This window comes from Homo sapiens, chromosome 6, assembly GCF_000001405.40.
Source record: "Homo sapiens chromosome 6, GRCh38.p14 Primary Assembly".
NCBI lineage: Eukaryota > Metazoa > Chordata > Mammalia > Primates > Hominidae > Homo > Homo sapiens.
In genome coordinates this window covers 152,326,801-152,345,879 of record NC_000006.12, presented here as the reverse complement: position 1 = coordinate 152,345,879, position 19,079 = coordinate 152,326,801, and the positions used below count along the sequence as shown (strand labels likewise).

General features: G+C 39.9%; 1 protein-coding gene across 49 annotated transcripts in view, besides 1 other annotated feature; it reads left to right on the top strand.

Annotated features, from left to right (window-relative positions):
• Positions 1-19,079, top strand: part of SYNE1 (spectrin repeat containing nuclear envelope protein 1) — a 515,676-nt gene that overhangs the window by 291,483 nt on the left and 205,114 nt on the right. For all 49 annotated transcript variants that reach the window (XM_047418508.1, XM_017010610.2, XM_017010609.2 and 46 more), the window contains 5 exons: positions 1,653-1,799; positions 6,514-6,639; positions 8,863-9,039; positions 11,607-11,872; positions 13,990-16,150. In XM_047418508.1, coding sequence (XP_047274464.1) covers positions 1,653-1,799; positions 6,514-6,639; positions 8,863-9,039; positions 11,607-11,872; positions 13,990-16,150 — 2,877 coding nt within the window. The remainder of the gene's footprint in view (positions 1-1,652; positions 1,800-6,513; positions 6,640-8,862; positions 9,040-11,606; positions 11,873-13,989; positions 16,151-19,079) is intronic.
• Positions 7,124-7,253: a silencer, noted in NCBI's record as "silent region_17690". NCBI's record gives its function as "represses an Ori minimal core promoter by ATAC-STARR-seq in GM12878 lymphoblastoid cells {active_cell/tissue: GM12878}" and the evidence as "EXISTENCE:reporter gene assay evidence [ECO:0000049][PMID:35858748]".

Genomic DNA, 19,079 nt, shown 5'->3' with positions numbered 1-19,079 from the left:
ACTTCCACTAAAACAGAATTCTTAATGTTTTAGAAATAAGTGTAAGAGGGGTAAGAATGGCTATTTTAACAAAAACTTACTAAAATAGGTAAATTGCTTTCTATTATTCTAGAATTTTTAAATGACACTAAAAAGAGTTTTTATAAGCCTTTAAACTTAGTATTCTGTGTATTTTTGTTTACTGGACTAGCCAGTAAGAACTGATGATATACCAGTGACGTGGTTAGAGTGGTCCATGTTCACCATAATAATAAAAAAAATTCTGAGTGACATTAGTAACTTCCTAGACTTAAAAAAAAAAATTCACCTTCAAAGGTTAACAAAAAGAACTGGTGATACATCAGTGATGTGGTTAGAATGGTCCGTGTTCACCATAATAATAAAAAAAATTCTGGGTGACATTAGTCAACTTCCTAGACTTAAAAAAAAATCACCTTCAAAGGTTAACAAAAGAGGACTACAAGAATCTAATAAATAATTGAAAATGATGACAAGGGGAGAAAAGGGGGAGTGAAGAGAGAAAATGAGGCTACACATAGAACTTTCTGGTGAGTTCATTCGTTCACTCATTCAACAGAGATTTCTTGCACACTGTCTTCCTTCACAGTGGACATTTTCTTTGTATTAGGGATACAGTTTAATTTGTTTTAATTGGTGGATGTTGGAAAAGCCAACATAATTTTTAAAATTTAAAAAGTGGATGAAATTCTAAGAACATAATCAGAACTTCATAATTAAAGTTTGCAAAAGTGATAAAGAGAACAAAACACCATTCTTTTAAAAATTCTGCTTGGAATAAGAATAAATAAGGGATAAACCCAATGTCAGACGAAAGTGATGAATTTAAAAGATGACAGAGAAAAGCAGAATTCAATGATTGCTTCTATTGTCTCAATAATGAAAGAAATGCCAGGTTAAACTAATTTCCTTCTTTTTTCCTTTTTCCTAAATGGAAACATCCCAGATATATTTTCTCTTGATCTCAAATAGACACATAATTTTTCTTAATATGTCTTATGGATAAAATGAAAATTGGTTGGCTTGTTAAGGATTAATTAATTAAATAGACATATCAGAAAATGTATGAATTATTCTGGATTATTTTTGCCCTGGAACATAACTTCTAAGATGAAGTGAGGACATCCACCTCTCCACTCCTCATGTTATAATTTAGTTCAAATTTTACCCTATCTCTATTGCAGAAGCATCTCAGTTAGAGAAACATTGGTTATCTTTTTTTGAGATCATTTTTTATTTTTACTTTTAGTTGCTAGCTTAAACAAAAAGTGCAATATTTATACCATAGGAAGAGAAGCTGCAAAAACCTCTGACTTATGTTTATGACAATTAACTTCAATGATTTTATGTATTCTAGCATGCCTCTACGGTTATATTTACCCTGCTCATGTTCTCTTCCCCTAATCCGGATATTACACTGTGATGTGTGGTCCGAGAAGTTATCAACTGGGGTATAGGCATTGCATTTTGCAACATCTGGGGAGACATACAACTGCCTTAGATATTAGATGAAATTGCAGAATCTTGGGGGGAAAATCCATTTAGATGTACTGGTCATGTTTCATTGAATTTGAATGATCTTTATAGAGGTAGAAAGCAGTTCTCATAATCTCAGCATGATTGTATTGTCTCAGATGTACCAGAGTTTGGAACACGAACTTCAGAAGCACGTCAGCCGACAAGACACCCTGCAGCAGTGCCAGGCCTGGCTTTCTGCAGTCCAGCCGGATTTAGAGCCAAGTCCTCAACCACCTCTTAGTAGGGCAGAAGCCATTAAGCAGGTAGTAAACTCCTGAAAGTTTGTGTTATTCTTGTGAATCATTCAGAGCGTCAGTGAAAATGTGTGAAGTACCTATGATGTGCCAAACTGTATTGACTCCTGGGAATCTAAAAGTAGGAAGAAGGTCTGAGGTTGGCTCTAGTGGAGTTCATGTGCCAGCCAGAAGATGGACATGATACTGAGGGGCCAACTTGGTAGACTAGAAAGAGAATGGGGCCAGGCGTAGTGGCTCATGCCTGCAATCCCAGCACTTTGGGAGGCCAAAACGGGCGAATCACTTGAGGCCAGGAGCTCGAGACCAGCCTGGCCAACATGGTGAAACCCCATCTCTACTAAAAATATAAACATTAGCTGGGCATGGTGACGTGCACCTGTAATCCCAGCTACCCTGGGATTGAGGTAGCAGGGTACCTACCCGCCTGAGGCTGAGGAGGCTGAGGCAGGAGAATCGCTTGAACCTGGGAGGCAGAGGTTGCAGTGAGCCGAGATCATGCCACTGCACTCCAGCTTTGGTGACAGAACAAGACTCTGTCTTGAAAAATTAAAAAATAAAAATAAAAAATAAAATAAAAGAATAATGAAAATAAACTATTAAAAAGAAAAAAAAAAAAGAAAGAGAATGGGGCCGGGCATAGTGGCTCATGCCTGTAATCCCAACACTTTGAGAGGCCAAGGCGGGCCGACCACACAGTTTCAAGAGTGCAAGACCATCCTGGCCAACATGGTGAAACCTCATCTCTACTAAAAATACACAAATTAGCTGGGCATGGTGGCAGGCGCCTGTAATCCTAGCTATTCAGGAAGCTGAAGCACGAAAATTGCTTGAACCTGGGAGGTGGAGGCGGAGGTTGCAGTGAGCCAAGATTGCGCCACTGCACTCCAGCCTGGGCACCAGAGTGAGACTCTGTCTCAAAAAAAAAAAAAAGAAAAGAAAACGAAAGAAAGAGAATGGGCACTGTAACCAAAGATTAATTCTAATATTTATTCTGTTGGGGGACCATGGGTAAGTCGCTTAATTTCTCCAAGCCTTCGAGATAGTTTCCTACTATCAAAAGTGACATTTATAAGTATACTTACTTCTAAAAGTTATAATGAAATGCAAATATCACACTACAGATAAACGTGATTTATAAACAGAAAAGTAATACTAGCTTCTTGCATAGTTTTGGGGCAAAAACAAGGTGCTTCATAGATAATTATTGAATGGATGATGAATGAAATGTTAGTTTTTATCATGTGAAGGGAATTCTATTCCATATTAATTTGACATCCACATGCTGAAAATGTTATTGCTGAGACTTAATCAGAATATGTGGGAAATATTTTTTTTAAACTTTTGTACTAAGCAGCTTTTGTATGCAGTGTTGACTCCGTGGGAAAATATTTTAGAGGAATTTAGTTATAAAGGTTATTGCTGCCAGATACGAATTAACAGTATTTAATAATTTAATTTTTTAGCACAAATTAGAATAGCATAATGTATTTGATCACTGAGTCCACATAAAGAATGTGTCTAGTTAATTTGTCCCCCGAAGTATACTTTCTAAAGGCTAAAATGATTTACATTGTCATTCAATGGTTCACAAAAGTGTTCATATTTTACTTTATAAGAATAGAATCAGGACAAATGAAACATAGTTCTCCTTGAATCAAGAAAAATGAATTAAAGACTGCCTATATTCTACTTTTTTATTAGACTGTGAGTTTCCTTGACCCACAAGCCACCTTGTCTTGTGGCTGTTTGTTTCCAATGCACTTTATTCAGAACAATTCAGACCAACACTTAATCTTTCTCCTCTGTTACCAAAAAAGAAATAAAAGAGATAAAGGGAGAAGAAAGTATTAATGGCAGTGATGTTTTGCTAGAGCAGGAAGAGATTTCCTACACATACCAGAGTAAGCCGTGGTCACAGGAGGATACTGATCCTTCTTCCAGATTACGTGACTGTATGGTTCCTTGTTTCTGCCTCTTTCACATGTCTCTCAAAATGGTCTTTGGAAGTAGCCAGAGAAGGGAGTTCGAGGTGGTGGAGACACTTGGACTACAGTCACTCTGAGGAGGAAAGGTTTTTTATTTTGTTCCCTTTTTTTATTTTTTATTTTTTGTTGTTATTTCTTTTGTTTTAGTTTTTCCCTTGGCAAGTGCAATAAGTCCTCACTTAATTCCATCGGTAGGTCTTAGAAACTGAAACTGTAAGCAAAACCATGTACAGCAGGTCCTCAAATAATGTCATGTCCTTCAATATGCAGCTTTGTTATAGCATTGATGAGAACAAAAGTTGTTTCATTATACAACTTCCTGCTTAAAGAAGTCACGGTTTCCAAGAATCTGCTGACGACATTAAATGAGGACTTACTGTGTTCATGTAAAATTGACCAGGCCCTTAGTGGCTGGTGAGCTTGGATATGTGACTGGAGAATCCGCTTACAATGGGCATGGTACCAAGATGCAGTGTGTATCCCCAACACCACCCGTCTAGTAAACCCAATAAACCCTCAATACATATGTGAAGATAATACACTCCCCGCTGCCACAAGAAAATGGCACATGGATTCGATTCCGTTCAGAGTGCTATATGTTTTTAGAAGGCATAAAATGTGAACTTTAGGGAATGGGAAAAAGTACTATAAGATTTTTCTGTAAAGTTGATTTTAGCAAACATCGTTTGCAGCTGTGTGGTCACTAACACTCTATATGCTGCTTCCAGTGCTTTCGGAATCAGATCAACTATATAAATCATACCATCATTCCTTTCAATTAAATATGTTCATAAAATACAAATTCTGACAACTTATTCTCTTCTCATATCCAAAAGTTGTTTGAGACAAATAACTTTCTCTGGGTCATAGGTGCATGATGTGGTACTTGTGCACAGTGGCTGATGACTCACAATACCATAGTTCGCTTGTACATTCAATTGAAAAGGTGCTACTCCTGACTTAATGGGAAATTGATCTGTGTTTATTATATCCACAGGAACACAGCATGTCTAGGTAATCCACACAGTGCAGAGGAAAAATACTCAGATTGGAGTCACAAAATCAGGCACCATGATTGACTCTATGATTTGGGAAAATCCTGGAAGTCAACTTTATCCCTGCAACTTGTAGTCAATACTGCCTTCCTTATTTATCCCTATTTATGTAGTAATCAAGAACCACTTCTTACTACCTCAGCCACCACCCCCTGTCAGGCCATCTTCATGGTTCATCTGATCCCTGCAGTAGCCTAACACCTGGACACCATAGCTGCCTGCCACCCCTGTGGCAAGCCGTTCTCCACGTGATGTTCGGAGGGAGTCTTTGAAAGCCTGTTTCAGATCATGATGCTCCCGATATTTTCCCATCACACTTAAATTCCAACTTTCTTACCACGGCTTATGAACAGGCTGATTATAGAATTTGTTTTCTCAAATGGAACCTTCTTGATAAGACAGAGTCTGCTTTACATAATCCAATGGGACTAGCGCAGTGGTTCACAACTGGGGTGGAGGAGATGGTGACTTTGCTCCTACAAGGGACATTTGGCACTGTCTGAACACGTTGTTGGTTGTTACAACTGGGAGTGGTGGGGACACTGCTGGCATTAAGTGGGTAGACGCGAAGGATGCTGCTGACGTTCTAGCAAGCTATAAGTCAGCCCCACAACAAAGAATTATTTGGAGTCAACTGTCAATAGTTCTGAGTTGAGAAACTCTAGACTAGAGACAAAACCCAGCAAATTGGGATGTATGGTCAGCTCTCCTTGTAAGGGGCTCCATGACTTGCCCCCGCCCACCCTCCGACCTCTGCTCACACCTGATTCACTCTGCTCCAGCCTCAGGGCTTTGCATTTGCTGTCTCTCTACCCACCACATCCACCTGCCTGGAATGTTCTTACCTTATGCCATGCCATGCATTCAGGTCGTTTCCTCAGAGGGGCCTGGGAGATACACTGTCCCTGAAGTGGCAGTCCTTCTTCCTCATACGCTATCTGCTTAGCACCTTGATTTTCCCACATGATATTTAAAACTACTAAACATCCCAGTGCAAGTTTGTTTATTTATATATTATTTATCTCCTTCCTAAGAATGTCAACTCCCTGGGAGCAAGGGTTTTGCTTTATGGGCTGCTCTATGCCCAGTATCTAAAATGGAGCCTGAGTAGAATCTGCGCATCTGCAAAGAAACACATTTCTTTGTTTCTATAAATAGATTAAAGATCCACCTGGAGAAGCCTTTCTTGGGCTTGTGGAAAGAGAATAATACAAGATGAATCTCCTGCAAAGTAAAGAAGCCCAGACATCTGTGTTTTAACCTCACTCCAATGAAACCTACCAACTCACGGACCTTTGCCTTCTGTCTCTAAGATATGCAAAAGCATGTTAAGAGGCAGGACAGCGTAGGCTACAAATTCTTTCTCTGGAATGGAAAATAAGCTGGCATGTGAGCAAATAATCTGGAAAGATTATAGAAGTTTCTTGCGTTTTCCCCTTTCCCAGACCATACAGAATACTTTACTTACAAGGAGAAGCAAATGGTGGACAAATAAATCCCCATTGGTGATTTAAATTTTTTCCTGTGAGTCACTAATATATGTCACTTGAACACAATGGTGAAAACACTGAGCATAGCAAGACTATTTTTGAAATGTCAACAGAATATTCCAAATGATACAAGTATTTGCTATCTAAATAGCTGATGCATCTCTTTCACTCTGATAACTGCCTTTTCCAGGTCAAACACTTCAGAGCTTTGCAAGAGCAGGCAAGGACCTACCTAGATCTCCTTTGCTCCATGTGTGACCTGTCAAATGCTTCGGTGAAAACCACAGCAAAAGACATTCAACAAACAGAGCAAACGGTAAGAAAATGAAAAATCACATTGAATTTGTTTGTTTTATTATATTCTCTTGCTTGAATGTTTCATGTGAGATTGAAAGAAAATAGCTCTTGGCTTGTTCTTGCTGTATGTAATGGTTCTACAGCCATTATAATAAATAGATATTTGAATTTCAGCTAACTCATAGAAAATTAAGCACATCCTGACATTGATGACATCAGATTGGGACTGAATCACTTAGTCCCATTCATTCGCTGCCCATTAGAACCTTTCTTTTTTCTCCTCCTTAATGACCATTCTCTCAATTTTCCTATCTTGCCACACCTTTTTTTGTTCTTTTCTCCTTTTCCACCTTTTTCTTTAGGCAATACTTAATATGAAAGGGGCTCTTGACCCTTTCTTTATTATATCAAGGATGTCAAAGAGCATGCCATCTGTCACAATCCTTCTAGTTCATTGGTAAAGTGTGGTGTTCAGAAGGATTTTGAAACTGTCTGGGCTATGATGAGCTAGCAGTACCGGCCCACACAGACAGATGGCAGCACTGGAGGCGTATTTTCCCGGCTGCTGCCACTGCAGCCTTAAACTCTTCCATGAAACACATTTGGGTTTGTTTGCTCGTTTGTTTGTTTGTTTGTTTCTTTATTTTGAGACACTCTGCCAACCAGTCTGGAGTGCAGTGGCGTTATCATCACTGACTGAAGCCTCAACCTCCTGGGCTCAGGTGATCCTCCCACCTCCGCCTCCCAATAGCTGGGACTATAGGCACACACCATCACACCCAGCTAATTTTTATACTTTTTGTAGAGACAGGGCTTCGCTGTGTTTCCCAGGCTGGTCTCGAACTCCTGGGCTCAAGCAATCCTCCCTCCTTGGCCTACCAAAGTGCTGGGATTACAGGCATGAGCCACCACGCCTGGCCCACACTTGAGTTTAAAAGAAAAATAAGACTTAGTTTTGGTATTTAATTTATTAAATATTCACAGAACAGTAAAATGATTCACAGGAAAAAAATGTCAAAATAATAAGGTTTTTCTCTTTAATATTATCAAATCTGTTTTTAAATCCTTACAAAAGACGATGTAACCCATTTATTTTATTTTATTTTATTTTGGAGAAAGAGTCTCACTCTGTTTCCCAGGCCGGAGCACAGTGGCGCAATTTTGGCTCACTGCAACCTCCGCCTCCCACATTCAAGCAATTCTTGTGCCTCAACCTCCCGAGTAGCTGGGACTACAGGCACACACCACCATGCCTGGCTACTTTTTGGTATTTTAGTAGAGAAAGGGTTTCACTGTGTTGCCCAGGTGGGTCTCGAATTCCTGAGCTCAGGCAATCCACCTGACTTGGCCTCCCAAAGTGCTAGGATTACAGACACGAGCCACCATTCCCAGCCAATGTAACCCATTTATTTTTACAGAAATGATTTATTGAAACAAATTACACAGCTTCAAAAACCAGTGAAGCAGATCAAAGACATATCCAAAACATTAATAATTCAGCATGTTGTAAGACAGATGAACAAATGTGCAACAGAGAATAACAGAAGTCTTTTCTAGTTAACCTTAACACCAAATTCATGAGTCATACAGATGAATCTACTGAAATGCCCAATGGGAAAAACCATCAGAGCAGCTTTAGACCTAATACATTGATAAAACTTATTAGAGTTTCGCTGGGCGCAGTGGCTCACTCCTGTAATCCCAGCACTTTGGGAGGCCAAGGCGGGCGTATTATCTGAGGTTGGGAGTTCGAGACCAGCCTGACCAACGTAGAGAAACCCTGTCTCTACTAAAAATACAAAATTAGTTGGGTGTGACGGCGCAAGCCTGTAATCCCAGCTACTCAGGAGGCTGAGGCAGGAGAATCACTTGAACCCGGGAGGCAGAGATTGCTGTGAGCCGAGATCGTGCCATTGCACTCCAGCCTGGGCAACAAGAGCGAAACTCTGTCTCAAAAAAAAAAAAAAATTATTAGAGTTTCACAACACTGATTAAAACCATATAGCATAACTTGTAGACATTTAAAGTCTTTAGGAACCCTACATTTTTTTAAAAAAAATCTGCTTTTCCTGAAGCAAATAAAGAAGTACTTTTTAAATTTATGTATTTGTGTGTGTGAGTTTGCGTGTGTATGTGTGTGTCAAATGAGTGCACAGGCCAGCTGGAAAGTTCCATCTCTGATTCATTAACCATAAATGTTTCCATGTATGGTTGCTAACTTTTATCTCTGTGTTTTCTCAAGATTGAACAAAAGCTTGTCCAGGCCCAGAACTTAACTCAGGGCTGGGAAGAGATCAAGCACCTGAAGTCTGAGCTCTGGATTTACCTGCAAGATGCTGATCAGCAACTGCAGAACATGAAGAGGAGGCACTCTGAGCTGGAGCTGAACATTGCACAGAACATGGTTTCACAAGTTAAGGTGGGAATTAATTTGCCCCCAAGGGAGATAAAAGAGGCCAACAGAGTAGAAAACCTGAAATGTGTTCAGTGTATTCACTTCAATATGCCTGAGTGTCTGTCAATCCTTAGACATTAATACAACTCTTTAAGGCAGAGGTCCCCAAGCCCCAGGTTATGGACAAGCACAAGTCCATGTCCTGTTAGGAACCTGGCCGCACAGTGGGAGGCGAGCAAGCATTAATGCCTGAACTCCACCTCCTGTCAGATCAGAGGCCACATCAGATTCTCATAGGAGTGCAAACCCTACTGTGAACTGCGCATGCAAGGGATCTAGGTTGCATGCTCCTTATGATAATCTAACTAATATCTGATGATTTGAGGTGGAACAGCTTCATCCTGAAACCATCCCCCTCCAGCCCCATTCACGGAAAAATTGTTTTCCACAAAACCCATCCCAGGTGCCAAAAAGTTTGGGGACCGCTGCTTTAAGGAATAGCAAATCTGAACAAACATCATTTGGTGCCAGGGAAAACAGATTATAAAGTAGACATTCAAATATATTACTGAAGCTTCAGATGGCCACTTTCATCAGAAGACATTCATACTCTACATTATTCCTGAGAAAAGCAGGTGTGATTTAGTCTACAGAGTAGACTGCTTAGTCAGAAAACTCTGTGACTAAGCAAACATGGAACATTATTCTTTTTTTAGATTTTCATCACCATATTATGCTAAAACTGTAGGACTGTAAGCTTATCAATTCATTAGTTATATATTTGAGCTATATGTAATTAATTTAAAGTATAATATAAATGCAGTTTGTATTACATATTTATATATAATTTAAATAATTTAAAATATATAGGAAATTGTGGCCGGGTGTGGTGGCTCATGCCTGTAATCCCAGCACTTTGGGAAGCTGAGGTGGGCAGATCACTTGAGGCCAGGAGTTTGAGACCAGGCTGGCCAACATGGTGAGACCACATCTCTATTAAAAATACAAAAATTAGCCTTGCGTGGCACATGCCTATAATCTCAGCTACTTGGGAGGCTGAGGCACGAGAATCATTTGAACTTGGGAGGCGGAGGTTGCAGTGAGCCATGATCATGCCACTGCACTCCAGCCTGGGCCACAGAGTGAGACTCTGTCTCAAAAAAAAGGGAAAAAAGAAAATTATAAGTGTATTAACTTAATTGGAAGTTGGGTCAGATTTTAAATAAACTTAAAGATGTTTTTTCTCTGTGATTATGAGTCAATAATAATATATTGTCTACTGGAGTGCTGTTTGCAAGTACAGAGAAAAAAGAGAATAGGGATCGGGATAATAAGATTTATTTTTTCTCAGAAGCATGAACTCTTTTTTAAAAAAATTTGTGAACCATCCTAGAAATTTAATTTTTTAAAATGTATTTTATAAGAAAAGTTTTGTTTATTATAAAAGGCTTAGAAAATACAGAAATGTCTTAATAAGCAAATTTAAATCACAATCACTTATGATACTACCATTCAGAGATAATAAACAATGCCAATATTTTGCTGTATTTGTTTTAGATATACACATAATAAAAACATTCAAGATGATACTCTTGTTAACATTTTAATTGTGATTGAACCTAGCTTTAAGGACAAAATTTCATATATCAGTCAGGGGATTTAAGAGGTGTTTTTTGGGTAGTGGGAGTAAATGGCAATGGGAGTGAGCAGTGGGGAAGTATGGAAGTCCATGAACCAACCCCTTGGAGGAAACACTATCCAAAGAAATGATCCTCTGGCCACATATTGGGCTGGCAGAGATGGTATCTTAGAGGTTTCTTTTTGCTGTGTATGCAGGGAGTAGATGAATCTAAACCATTGCCTTTCCACTTTGCGAATGTACTCCAGCCTTCCCCAACTCTGTACATAACACCACTGCCCACCTGGTGACCCAAGCTACTTTGCCTTGTCTCTGACATTTGGAAGGTTTCCGTCAGAGGCGTTCAAACCAGAGCGACTCCATCTTGAATAGGGGCTGGGTAAAATGAGGCTGAGACCTGCTGGGCTGCATTCCCAGAAAGTTAGGCATTCTTAGTCACAGGATATTTAGTTAAGGGAACAGGTTAATAATGTTTACTGAACAGATCCAGAACTTGACAGATCCAGGACTTAGCAGACCTAGGAAATGTCCTAATGTCCTGATGTCTTGAGAATAAAAGCACCCTTAGTTTAAGAATAAATTTTGAAAAACATGAACTCCTTAAAAATTCTTAGAAAACAAAGGCCGCACTTCAAGGTAAGATAATGACTTTTTTCATTAATGACTGTAATGTTTCACATGTATTAGTTTTTCTTTATGCCTCTTGGAATAGTACAATAAAAGAATATACCACAGCTACCCTGAATCTTGCACACGTGGGAATTAACGTTCATAAAGAGGTATGGTGATTTTTAGATTTTCTCTTTGTTTCCCATAACTTATTATACATTCTTCAGTTTTTTTCATATTAAGGAACTTAGAGTGTTTAAAGGTCTTATGTCTGTGTTGCTCTCTATATTTATTTGGGCATTTCTTAACACATTACATATTTTTTGTTGCTGTTATCCTTTAGGATTTTGTTAAGAAACTACAGAGCAAACAGGCATCCGTGAACACCATAATAGAAAAGGTGAATAAGTTAACAAAGAAGGAGGAATCGCCTGAACACAAGGAAATAAATCATTTAAATGATCAGTGGCTCGATTTGTGCCGTCAGTCTAACAACCTGTGCTTGCAAAGGGAAGAGGATCTTCAGAGAACAAGAGATTACCATGACTGTATGAATGTTGTTGAAGTGTTCCTAGAAAAATTTACTACAGAATGGGATAACTTGGCCAGGTAACAGAAATTCTCCCATGGGTCACCAAAATGCTAAGCCAGACATTTCTTAATATCTATAAAAATTTAAAATGTGCCCAGGTGCAGTGGCTGATGCCTGTAATCCCAGCACTTTAGGAGGCTGAGGCGGGTGGATTAGTTGAGGTCAGGAGTTCGAGACCAGCCTGGACAACATGGTGAAACCTCATCTCTACTAAAAATACAAAAATTAGCCGGGCGTGGTGGTGCATGCTTGTAATCCCAGCTACTTCGGAGGCTGAGGCAGGAGAATCAATTGAACCTGGGAGGAGGAGGCTGCAGTGAGCCAAGATTGCACCACTGTACTCCAGCCTGGGTGACAGAGCAAGACCCTGTCTCAAAAAAATAAAATAAAATGTCTTAGGTATAACATCTATTGTTTATTATTATTAATATTGGTAAGTAGAACATCATTATGAACCTAACGTTTTCAAATGGATATAGAGTCATGGTTTTCCTAGCTCGATATTGATTTAACCAGTGGGTAAAAGAGAAATGTTTGAAAATGGTACCATTTTCTCTGTGACCTCAAAGAATATTCTAAAAATATTTCTAATTTTGTTTAATTACAAGTTATGGGATATCATCTATGAATTCATGAAATGAATCCTTCTTGAACCTATATGCTCCCTAGTTTCTTATCAAGTCTATAAGGTAATGAATGCATTCTGTGTAATTCAGTCAGGTTTTTTTCTTACAAGAGTCTAGAAATTCAGTTAATTTGTGTCTTTTGTGATTTTGTAGTTATTGAACCCCTCTTAGCTTTCTTCTTTGAAAAATAAGAACACACACACACATACTGGATCATTATATGAAACCATTCCATACTTTTGATCACTATAATTGTTAAAATCTACACTTCTTCTGCACCGATTTACTAGTTTACAGCAAAGAAAACTGCAAATATTGTTCTAGATATCATGAAATCATAGTGGGGATTTGGGGTTTTTTTGGTATACCATTTTCTGGTTTGTTTGCTTTTCTTTGATACTTAACATTTACTCGTCTTTGGGATTAGTCCAGTAAATATTAACAACTCATATTTCTGGCTCACAGTAGGCCCCACAGACACCTGAGACTTAACAGGTCCAAAACAGAACTCCTCATACTGCCTCCCAACCCTGCTTTTCATACTTCAGAACTGATCATTTAGTAAAAAAGACTACAATATTCCATTTTTTATGTGTGCTTCATAGTCAAAGGGATGAGAATTCTTTACATTTCACACTTATTACTAAAGATTACTAATGATAAGCAAAAAATATCCAAGTACACAATTAAGTAGCCATTAGATCTGTTGGTTATACCTTACAGATTGTACTACCTAGAACTATATTGTTTGTTGGACCCTCTTCACAAAAGAAAGCACATAAATCATGCATCACTTATTAATTTCTTTCAGTATCATTTTCTAGAGTACACTAGATCAGTGCTTCTCACTGTTTAACATTACACAAAACATCCAAGGATCCTGTTACCATATAGATTCTGCTCAGTTGATAAGAGCCAGAGGAAGATAAAAGCATATTCTGATTTGATTGGAAGGCATTATCAGCCAGAAAGAAGTAGGCAACTTGGTTTGATTCAACTTCTAGTATTGACTTCTGATGAGACTTGTATTCCATAATTATAGCACTTCTGTCAACAAACCATGAATTGAACTACTCTCAATTGTTCTAAGCTCAGAAGATCCACTTAAAGAAATGGTGAAGTGTCAGCCAGGAGTAGTGGCTCATGCCTGTAATCCTAGCACTTTGGGAGGCTGAGGCAGGTGGATCACCTGAGGTCAGGAGTTAGAGACCAGCCTGACCAACATGGTGAAACCCTGTCTCTACTAAAAATAGAAAATTAGCCGAGCATGGTGGCACATGCCTGTAATCTCAGCTACTTGGGAGGCTGAGGCAGGAGAATCGCTTGAACCTGGGAGGCGGAGGTTGCCGTGAGCTGAGATCAGAGCATTCATTGCACTCCAGCCTGGGAAACAAGAGCAAAACTCAGTCTCCAAAAAGAAAATGGTGAAGTGTAATTTAGCATAGTATGAACAAACATCGATATTGACTACAGCTAATTTGCTCTTATACCTTTCCATGTATTTTCAGATCTGATGCAGAGAGTACAGCTGTCCACCTGGAAGCTTTGAAAAAGTTAGCATTGGCATTGCAGGAGAGAAAGTATGCTATTGAAGATCTGAAAGATCAAAAGCAGAAAATGATAGAGCATCTGAATTTAGATGACAAGGAGTTAGTCAAAGAACAGACGAGTCATTTAGAGCAACGTTGGTTTCAGCTTGAGGACCTCATTAAAAGGAAAATCCAAGTGTCAGTCACCAACTTGGAGGAGTTAAATGTGGTGCAGTCCAGATTTCAGGAGCTAATGGAGTGGGCAGAAGAGCAACAACCCAACATCGCCGAGGCCCTTAAGCAGAGCCCTCCTCCAGATATGGCTCAGAACCTTCTCATGGATCACCTGGCCATCTGCAGTGAACTGGAGGCCAAGCAGATGCTCCTGAAATCGCTTATAAAGGACGCAGACAGGGTCATGGCAGATCTTGGTCTCAATGAGCGACAGGTCATCCAGAAGGCTCTCTCTGATGCACAAAGCCACGTGAATTGTCTCAGTGACTTAGTGGGCCAGCGAAGAAAGTACTTAAACAAAGCCTTGTCCGAGAAAACCCAGTTTCTCATGGCAGTGTTCCAGGCCACCAGCCAAATTCAGCAACATGAGCGAAAGATAATGTTCCGTGAACACATCTGTCTGTTACCAGATGATGTGAGCAAACAAGTCAAAACATGTAAGAGTGCACAAGCCAGCCTCAAGACTTACCAAAATGAAGTCACTGGACTTTGGGCCCAGGGTCGCGAACTAATGAAGGAAGTCACAGAGCAGGAAAAGAGTGAAGTGCTGGGGAAGCTTCAGGAATTGCAGAGTGTCTATGACAGTGTTTTACAAAAGTGCAGTCACCGGTTACAAGAACTAGAGAAGAATTTGGTTTCTAGGAAGCATTTTAAGGAAGATTTTGATAAAGCTTGCCACTGGCTAAAACAAGCAGATATTGTTACATTTCCTGAAATCAACCTAATGAATGAGAGTTCTGAGCTTCATACACAACTGGCTAAATACCAAAACATTCTTGAACAATCTCCAGAATATGAAAATCTTCTACTTACGCTGCAGAGAACTGGGCAGACCATATTACCATCGCTGAATGAAGTCGATCATTCCTACCTCAGTGAAAAGCTAAATGCTTTGCCTCGACAATTTAATGTAATTGTTGCCTTGGCTAAAGACAAGTTCTATAAAGTCCAGGAAGCAATTCTTGCTCGGAAGGAATATGCTTCCTTGATTGAGTTGACAACCCAGTCTCTGAGTGAACTTGAAGCCCAATTCTTGAGGATGAGCAAAGTTCCCACCGACCTGGCCGTTGAGGAGGCTCTTTCTCTGCAAGATGGTTGCAGAGCCATTCTGGACGAGGTGGCGGGCCTTGGGGAGGCGGTGGATGAACTGAACCAGAAAAAAGAAGGTTTTCGCAGCACAGGTCAGCCTTGGCAGCCAGACAAGATGCTGCACCTTGTCACCTTATATCACAGGCTGAAGCGACAAACAGAACAGAGGGTTAGCTTATTAGAAGACACCACCAGTGCTTACCAAGAACACGAGAAGATGTGCCAACAGCTGGAGAGACAACTGAAGTCTGTAAAAGAGGAGCAGTCCAAAGTGAATGAGGAAACGCTGCCTGCAGAGGAGAAGCTCAAAATGTATCACTCCCTGGCAGGAAGTCTCCAGGACTCAGGGATTGTACTGAAACGAGTAACCATACATCTTGAAGATCTTGCCCCACACCTTGACCCCTTGGCTTATGAGAAAGCCAGGCATCAGATCCAGTCCTGGCAAGGGGAGTTAAAACTGTTGACTTCTGCCATTGGTGAGACGGTGACAGAATGTGAGAGCCGAATGGTGCAGAGTATAGACTTCCAGACTGAGATGAGTCGCTCCCTGGACTGGCTGAGGAGAGTGAAGGCAGAGCTCAGTGGGCCGGTGTACCTAGACCTCAACCTGCAGGACATCCAAGAGGAAATCAGAAAAATCCAAATTCATCAGGAAGAGGTCCAGTCCAGCTTGAGAATCATGAATGCGCTGAGTCACAAGGAAAAGGAGAAGTTCACAAAGGCCAAGGAGCTGATTTCTGCGGATTTAGAACACAGCCTCGCTGAGCTCTCAGAGCTGGATGGAGACATCCAGGAAGCCTTACGCACCAGACAGGTGGGTATAATAGGACTTCACTTCTCTTTTTTCCACTCTGCTTATTTGTAAACAGGTACAAGAAATTCGTTTGCTTGGTTATAATTGCTTCTTTAAATATTTCTTTCGAAATACTACACAGAAGCATCTTCAGCAGTGACTTAAATGGTTATTTTAATTGTTTTTCGTTTTGTTTTGTTTTGTTTTGTTTTTTGGGTTTTTTTGAGACGAAGTCTCGCTCTGTTGCCCAGGCTGGAGTGCAGTGGTGCAATCTCGGCTTACTGCAACCTCCGCCTCCTGGGTTCAAGTGATTCTTGTGCCTCAGCCTCCCGAGTAGCTGGGATTACAGGCACCCGCCATCACATCCAGCTAATTTTTGTATTTTTTAGTAGAGACAGGGTTTCATTATGTTGGCCAAGCCGGTCTCAAACTCCTGACGTCAAACGATCTGCCTGCCTTGGCCTCCCAAAGTGCTGGAATTATAGGCGGGAGCCACCGTGCCTGGCCAGGTGATTTTAATTGTTTATGTGCATGATATTCATTTTGTGTGGTTTCCATCTTGACTTCACTTTGCTTATAACAGTGATGCCTCAGTGATTTCTCACCTTAAAAGAGATGATAAATGGTATTAGTAACATAATTAATATTATATATTAGTACATGGATAGTACAACTGATTAACCATGAATAATTAGTGATGCCCTTTGTAAACAATGTGAAGGCTGGTATTTCTAAAATCACCTGCTAGATGAAGAGTCTAAATGGAGAGAGGCAGACAATGCAGCCCTGACCTTGCCAATAAGCCACATTTTTGTGGGGTATCCCATTAGTTGCCCCATCTCTTCACCCCCTCTGTGGGGATGAGTGCTGTCCTTCTCCTGCTTCCCTGTAGCACAGCAGAAGAAAGACTAGAATACTCGTAATTACTTGACTTGGGGATAACAAAAAGAAATGGGAGCATGTACAAAACTTCCCAGATTGGCCTAATTGCAGCTTGCTCTGGGGCTTGCAAGTTCTGTGCATTCAAAAATAAGAAGAGGGCTGGGCGCGGTGGCTCACGCCTTTAATCCCAGCACTTTGGGAGGGTGAGGTGGGTGGATCACCTGAGGTCAGGAGTTTGACACCAGCCTGACCAACATGGTGAAACCCTGTCTCTACTAAATACAAAAAAAAAAAAATTAGCTGGGTTTGGTGGTGCATACCTGTAATCCTAACTATTTGGGAGGCTGAGGCAGTAAAATCGCTTAAACCCAGGAGGCAGAGGTTGCAGTGAGCCGAGATCATGACATTGCACTCCAGCCTAGGCAACAAGAGTGAAACTCTGTCTAAATAAATAAATAAATAAATAAATAAATAAATAAATAAATAAAATAAAATAAGAAGAGAAAAATAGTGCCTAGAGGATTACTTCCTTTAACTTCTTGGCCCATTTTCTCCATGTCTGTCTTTAGTCCCTGTGATTCTAGGAGATGTCAACCAACCCTTTAGGTAAAGGATAGCTTTCGTCAGGATAATACAGCAGCTATAGCCTGGGAGGAGGGCACATCTGAGTTTTAATGGCAGCTATTTGATCTCAGGAAAATGACATCCTATAAGGCTCTGTCCCTCTTTGTAGAAGAGAGATATTAATGATTCTTTTATTAGGTTTATCTTCTTAGCATTGGGTCTGACACGAAGTAACCTCAGATGAATCTTAGCTCTCATTTAACTATATTTTCTGCAGAGGTTAAGGTTAACACTTTAAATAGTAAAAATTTTAATATTGGATAAAATCATAATAAACTTCTTAAAATTCTGACTTTTTAAACTAAAAACTAGTACACTTTAACCTTTTCATGTTGATTCAAGGCTATTGCTTATACAAATTTTAAACTATTTTTCTAGCGCTATTAGTATAAATAGAGATATAGAATCTAGAATGTAGAGTAAGAACAGAAGTTAGCAGAAATTTTCATTCTTGAAAAACATTTGTCAGGTAAGCTTGCTTCTTTTGGTGAGTTTTGAACCAAACTCTTAAATCTACTAAGATGTCTCTGCTTGTGCCATCTTGTCTTATTGATTATCTTGGTCCAAATAACTAAAGGTCATGGTTCCTGGGGCATTTCTTATTCCCTCCGCTGATTCTATGCTTTGCTGTCCCTGTTCTTTCCCTAATTGGTGCTCATCTTATGGGTACTTTCTCTACCTTTTCTATGCATCTTCGCTTGCACAGTTGCGGCTTATCTTGTCTAGTCATTGATGGCTGGTTAGAGTGTTTCTTTTCCTTCTGGAATTGAATGGACCAGCCATCCAGACTTAAACTTTTCAACTTTTCTATTTTAGTCTGTATACAAGACTCACAGGTTACTATTTCGCTTCCAGAAATTACTCTGTGGCTCTGTGGTCTGGTAAATGCCAGTTTGGAAGTTTGATGTTGCTATATTTCTTTTTTTTTTCTTTTCTTTTCCTTTCCATGTTTGTTTGTTTGTTTGTTTTTTGAGAGACAGAGTCTGGGGTGCAGTGAAACGATCTCAGCTCACTGCAACCTCTGCCTCTCAGGTTCAAGCAATTCTTGTGCCTCAACCTCCCAAGTAGCTGTTACAGGCATGTGCCACCACACTCAGCTAATTTTCGTATTTTTAGTAGAGACACGGTTTCACCATGTTAGCCAGGCTGGTCTCAAACTCCTGGCCTCAAGTGATCTGCCTCCCTCAGCCTCCCAAAGTGCTGAGATTACAGTCATGAGCCAGCACGCCTGGCCGTGTTGTTATACTTCTAACCAACGGAGACATTACTGCACTTTGATAAACATCCAGTCTGCCACATATTACTAAGCATCATATTATTTCTTAGAGAGGGAAGTTTCAGAACTAGTCAAGATACTGACATAAATTTCTATCCCATTTCTGTCCTTATTATTTAATTTAATGGCAGTAATAAAATTATAACAAGAATAGCAGAAGGAAAAATC